At 34.4% G+C, this 7,253-nt stretch overlaps 1 annotated feature.

Annotated features, from left to right (window-relative positions):
• Nucleotides 3,543-6,808: an enhancer, noted in NCBI's record as "VISTA enhancer hs1798". NCBI's record gives its function as "enhancer in: neural tube[6/9] | hindbrain (rhombencephalon)[6/9] | midbrain (mesencephalon)[6/9] | forebrain[9/9] | eye[6/9]" and the evidence as "EXISTENCE:transgenic organism evidence [ECO:0001131][PMID:17130149]".

Here is a 7,253-nt window from a genome sequence, read left to right on the forward strand (position 1 = left end):
CAGGGTGAGTCTGCATATAGCTGTAATTCTCAAAGCATATGTGCTTGGATAAATAATGTAAGTCATTCTTAAATGTGAGTGAAGGGCATACCAGAATCACTTCATGAGCTTTGTAAAAATACATATTAACATACCAATCAGCTTCTTCTATGGAGAAACATAATATAGATAGCAATATAATCTGTAGGAACTTTTGAAAATACAGCCCCTGGCTCCCATCCCATATTCTGTGCATCCTAGAAGATATCATCTAGTATTTACAAGATGCACCCTCCACACAGGTGAGAACCACTGGTTTAAATATTAATAAATGCTTCCCAACTCAGATTGCACATTAGTATTACCGAGGCTTTAAAACACCAATTTGCAAAGCCCACTTTTAAAGACCAGTTTAATTGGTCTGAGGTTAGATTTGGCCATCAGCATGCTTTAACGCTTCCCAGGTGATTCTAATATGCACCATGAGTTGAGAACCACGGGTCTAAGGAAAAGAACAGTTAATATTTTCATGACCCCATTGCCAAAACCGCCCATCATTTTGCTCTTCAGTAAAAAATAAAGTCACTTTGGAAATAATATTGGTTTCAGAATGTCTGTGTTGAAATTTTTTGTTCAGAGGGCCTCTCTTTATAAGGAGTACCAGTGAACATCAAAGTGATATTTCAGACAGCAGAAGACAGTGAACCGGTTGAGAATTGCTGCTCCAAGTCATTAGGATAATATGAGGATCTGGGCAGTTTGCACACTGCCCTCCATCCATATTCATTCAGAGCTTTAATACTATTACATACAAGCAATTTGTAGACATCTGGGTTTAGAAAAACCTCTAAAAGGATTTTTTTTCATTGTCTTTAAAAATAATCATTTTATAATTTAACTTCATTTGAACAATTTTTAAGTAAGTGCAGTTATCAGAGAACTAGTTTTTCCCAAGTTACCTAATTCAGACTAAGTAAAGGTCAGAACAAGGCTTTTAAAAATAAGCATTATTTGTCTTTCTGAGAAAAAGTCTAACAAAGATGTTTTCAAAGCTTCTATCATCTAATACCTTTAAGACTTTATTTCAATATTTATTATAAATCAAAACTGGTATTCAATTAAATGCTTTCAAATTTGTACATAGTAAATGATTTTTTAAATTAGAAATACCTTATCTAAAGTGTACCTTTTTGAGGGCATATTTCTTGTTTACTTGACCGTGTTGTATATAAATATCCAACATTTTTAGCATTTGGAAATAAACTTATAGGCAGAAAGTTTCATAAAGGAAATATCTATTTACTTAAAATGTACCAATGTTATCTAATGGGGTAAAAGAAGCTTAAGTAAGTCTTCTGTGAGATGACTTACTGTGATTTTATCAAAACAGCCTTCCAAATTCTGTGGGCATAAACACACTGGAAATCTAGACATTAGTATGCTTTGCATAGAAGAAGTATGTCTTTCCCTGGCTTAACTGGATTATTAACACACACACAAACACACACACACACATACACGTCTAATTGTCAAATGATAGGTAATAAATGCTTATTGAAGTACGTAATACAGGATTTTTTTAAGTAATAGGGAATGTAATTTGGGATACTCAACTCCTTTTTAATGGAAAGAATTATAATATTGCTATTGATAGAACTTTTATAGACCTTGCCTTATATAATTTAAACAGTGCTGGTCACTAAACCTTTGCAAGGTTTAATTGCTATGCAGTGGAACAGTATGGAGCAATTATATGAATGATACCAGATCTCAATGCTTAAGTTATGAGAAAATATGGGGAAAGTTGAGCAAGTTCTCTGTGGAAAAGAAAAGACTTCATGTAACCCAATTGAAGTTTTAAAAATTATAAGGTGGATTGATAAAATTGATCCAAGCAAACTCTTTATGCTTCAAGACCAGAGAAGTGAGTAGATAGGATCTGAAAATTAGAAAGTTGGAACAAGGAAAAAAGAAAGCAAAACTCTTTTACACAAAGGATAATAAGCATATGGAATAAATTACTATAAAGGGCCCCTGAAGCAAGGAGCATCATTGAATACAGGAGGGAATGAAATGAATTTCTAAATGAAAAGGGAAGATAGGGAAGAACAGGAAGAAAATAGGCTAATGGAAATAAGGGAAACTTTAAAAAGCAAGTATGATGAGCAGAGAAACCTTTCACTGGGGTCTCTTCTTTCTGATAGTGCTGTTAAATGGCTTTTGGCATAGCCTGTAATCTAAAATAATGTCATAGCGTGGTGCTCCATGCTGTCACATTTAACCAAATGCTACATGGCACTTAACATTCTTCTATCTTCAGGGATGTCTAAATACAAATCTATGTAATATAATTCTACTTAGCAAATAGGTGATTTGGGAACACTGCCCACCTTTGTGACCAATGGAGTTGAACTTTTCTATGGATGTTGCATATTCAAATAATTTTTCCTTAGTCTGTTGCTTTAAAAAATAAATCAAGAATTGCCCATAAGCACCTATAATCTAGTGCATGTCTTAATAATAGATGAGATGATTTTCAATAGGACATGCAGAAAATATGAAGGCATATTAACCATTTGTAAACTGTTCATAATGGGACTGATTGTCTTTCCTTGAGTGCATTGTCTTCTGTTACATTTGAAAAGAACCCCTGCCTTCTTCGCTGGAAGCATGAATCTTTTTTTAGGAAAGAGTGCTGAGGCTGAATTCAGGATTTCAAGTGATGGATGATTTGAAACATTAATATGTAAGGTATTGCTAGCTAATTATTCAGCAGTTACTGCAGCAACTTAGATGGGGAATAGGTTACCTTTGGGAGAGAGTATTCTGCTTTTAAGTCATGCAAACTAAAGTATTACTAGAAATTGTATAGTACATGTTACTGCTAACTCTTTCCCCAAAAATATAGAAACATATATTTTTTGTCTAAAATATAAAGTACTTAACATAGGCATAATCATCAAATTAGAAAATATCTAATACACAAGGAAGAGAGTTTTCTTTAATTTAGGCTTAATCATGCATTTTAAATATTTCTTTTATAGGTATAGATTTTTCCAGACATGTGGACAGGATCGGAATATAAGCAAAAAATAACCAGAGGACATGAGCAGGGCAATGTTTTATTAATGACTAAACCAGAACTTCATGAACTGCTCAATCATATGGGAGCATTTTCAGATGAAAATGTTCATCAATAACACATCAAGACCATTATCAAAATTTGTCGGCCTGGATGTCTGATTTTGAGATTTTTGCCACACATGAAACCTGTCCACTGTTCACAAGCAAGATTATTGTAAAGGAAATCAATCGTAGATCATAGTTTGCCAAAATGCCTAAAGAAGGTTATAGTTTTAAGATATAGTTTAAAGTGGCATAATGAACCTATCCAGAGATGTAGAATTAGCTTGACAGATCAGATGGGCTCCACACAATTCCTAGATGTGGATGCGGATTCTCTAAACTGTAAGAGTGATTGGTAGCTGGAATGGAGAGAAAAGAAGGTCTAAACATATAGCTCATCAGTTCAGAAAAGAGTTGAAAAAATTATGAAGCTGATATCACCAGTCCCTTTGTTTCCAGCTCTCACCTCAACTCAAGCCAAGCCAAAGAAAGGCATTGCTAAATAATTATGGCATCATTTCCCACTGAATTAACAATCCTTCTTAAACCTGCCCTCCCAGGAGATCCTCACAGTCTATTGGGTTTTGCACTGGAGATGAAACCTACTTAACAATCTTTGCTCAGATGTAAATTCAGAATGGATCTGAAGAAAAATGTTTGTGCAAAAGTATTTGGGCAACTTTGAGCAATGGAACAAACCACTTTCCTGTGCTAATGTATTTTCTTTCTGATCCATTTTGTAATAAATAATCAAGATGGGGAGGGAAGATTGTGAGTGTCAAAGAGCACCAAAAGTTAGTTAGGACACATTTATCTTGTGGAGACATAATCTCAGAATGGATTCTTTTTTTCCCCCTTTGGGGCTTTTTGGCTTTATTTTCTGAAAAGTTAGATATAGATTGATAGACAAGTAGGTAGCTGGGTGGACAAATGGGTGCATAAAAAGATAATAGCACTCATTTATTTGGTTGGCAATGCTTTGAGACATTTTATTTTGGAAGCTGATTGTGTCTTATAGAAATACATAGACAACAATAACATAGAGAAACATTTGTCCTGTGTTTAAATGTTAGTGGCACAAGATTTACAGTGTATAGTTAAAGCAACACATACCAGTATTTGTGGATGCTGAGATTAATTTTCAATATGCAGTCTCCCTTGGGATATTTATATTCTTCCAATCAGCATGGAACTGTCCATCAAAACTAACACTATAAATTTTTTTTAACTTGGCACTGCAAATATTTCAGGGCTTTCTTTAAAGAGCTCTAGACAGATTAGCAATCTTCCTGTAAAAATGACCTCTGTCATTTTTCCTAGTGCTGGCTAGTTATTTCAATGCAATTGAATTCAGAGGAGGAGAGGGGTTCCCCTCTTATTCTTCCTCTCTTTTTTTAGACAATTTTAGAAACATTTGTTTAGGCATAGAGATTATGGCTATTTCAAGAAAGTACTGACATTTACTTTAGAATGCAACATGCATTGTGATTTAAAGTTTATTTCTAATTAGATGAGAGCAAAATAAATAGTTTCCAAAAGGGAAATATTTTTTTTTCACAAATTGCTCCCATCATTTTTGAACCCTGCAAAGCATTTTTACTAGATATATACCCTTAGCTCATCTTTTGCATGCTAACAATTTAATCTGAATACCAATATAGACACAAAATAAATGATTGTTTCCTGCCAGAGGTATCTGCAGAAGAAATCTTGGAGTAAAACATTGTCTTTGCAGCTCATTGTGTCTCTAATTAGAGTGGAAGGAGGCAGAAGCTTGCTGGTGTCAGTCTGTGTTTAGCATGCCCTGGAGCCTCAAACTCCTGTGGGTATCAAAGTGCACTAATTAAATGAGGGGTCCACAATACGGCACTAAACATCAGAGTGCGAGAAAGAGTCCAGTGTCCTCAGTGCCTTTGAGAATCGGTGGCCCACGCTAATTACCCATTGTTGAATTGACTTTCCATTCTGTGAGGAATGAATGGTTCAACTCTCCCTCCTCCCTCCACCCCTCCCCCTTTCTATTTTACCATCTTTGCTTTGGCCGCCTAATTAATCTTATGGAAATCTCCTGAAGCCAGATTCCAGCAAGGTTGCCCCGATGTTTATAATTTGATTTGTGATGATAAAAGTAAAGGCACCCGGTGATGGAACAGTGTCATTTTCAACACTCTCGAGAATCCAAGAGGCTATCAATCTTTCCCACGTGCACCGCAAACTGATATCCTAGAAAATTAACTTCAATTAATAACAGAAATCCCTAGGCACACCGGAAAGTGGAGCTGCCTTGAAAGAGAACCTTCAAAGATGTCTCTGGACTGTCTTTTATATGCAGACCTCTTTTATATAAGAGATTCTCAATGAGGAAATGGTGCATATATATATATATACATATATATATGTGTGTGTGTGTGTGTGTGTGTGTGTGTGTGTGTGTGTTTGTCTTTTTCTCCCCCAATACTAATTTCAGGGAGGTATGGTATCATTCATATCTAGTGTAGAAAGAATTTACCTGAAGTTCTCTGGTTTTAATATCAATACAACACTGTCTTTAAACTCCAACATTTGGTGTATTTTTTTCTTTTGATTTGGTAAGCAATGCCATTTTAAACATCGTTTGCAAAGTTTTTCCCTCATCCATGAAGACTTTATATGGGCAATCAACATTTTAATTTCAGTAAAAAAGGATATATGTATGTACAAACATGTATAACCTGATAAAACTCACCGAAATTTATGATAGGAAAGTTTAATAAAACCTTTTTGATATATTAATAGTTAGATTGGGTAAGGAATAAAAAAGCTCTTCTCCATATAATTTAATATCAAATAGTATTTGATTCAAAATAAGTCTACTCCGTATGTCTAATTATATGCTCCAATTGTAGATTATGCATTTTTGAAAAATGAAGGCAATTATTCTTCGGCAGCACAATTTCAGTTTATTGATTAAGAGATTTAAAACACTTATAACATTTTATCATAACTGGAGTGAATGCACTATCCAGAATAATCCCATAGATAAATGCTGCATTCCCTCTCTACCTCCCCTCCCTTAACTCTGTCTCCTTCTTCTGCTTCTTTCTCTACTTATATTTCTACTTCTTTTATTTCTTCTTGTTAAAAGCCTTTAGGTTATTAAAACATAATTCTTAGTATATTAAATGAAATATAATTCTTACCAATTAATAGTGAGCATCCGTGGACACTTTATTCAACTCATTAATGAGAGAAACAGCAGGATGGCAAAGCTTGTTCAAAAAGGGGTTGAGGGACTGGGCTTGTATACAACCACGGGAACAGAATGGTGGAATATGTTCATGAAATTGCAAAATTGATTAAAGCTATCCATCAGTGAACATATAACCATTAGAGTTACACTTTCTATGGACATAAGAGAAAATTACCCACACCTTAGTTTCCTAAAAGCTCTCTTTGAATGCTCCAGAGTTGTTAAAATGCCTGAGCCCTGGTCAAGGGTGAATTCTAAATAAAACAAAGTTACATTCCCAGAGAGAGGCAAATGACCCTCAGCCTCAGGCAACCTTGTCAGATAATTCTCTAGCATTTTATTTAAAAAACACAATTATTTTTCTGTTTTATTTCCAAAGGTTTGTATGATTCTCTTTGACAAGGTGAATACACTGTCCATTTTTACAATTAAAATGGATGACTTTAAAAGTCAAAAGCAGAAGGACATGAGGACTCTAAATTGAACCAAAAAGCATTTAGAGCCTTGGTTTAGTAGCTACATTGGGTAAGTCTGTAGAATTTCAAAATCTCATTAGAATTGCTACTACATGATAGAATTCACTTGGTACCATTTCTTGTTCTTTAAATTCTTATCAGTGGGCAAGATTTTAGGATTGTTCATGGAATCCATGAATTGTGTTATTATATGGTAGTACTGTGACCATTTATGTATGCTGTATTTTGATTGGCTGAAATTTTATTTCTACCCTTGACAGCTAGGACCACTTGTTAAGAAGAGTGAAATTGTGATCCAATTAAATCCCCAGATATATAAGTAGGCAAATTAGATGTTATCATATAAATTTTCACTTCTATTTTAAAATTAGTATTCTGAGATCTCTAGCAAGTAATTACAAATTACTTTTGCAAAAGGAAAAAAGTAGTATCAGCCTTAATGT

Source organism: Homo sapiens, chromosome 7 (genome assembly GCF_000001405.40).
Source record: "Homo sapiens chromosome 7, GRCh38.p14 Primary Assembly".
Taxonomy (NCBI): Eukaryota; Metazoa; Chordata; class Mammalia; order Primates; family Hominidae; genus Homo; species Homo sapiens.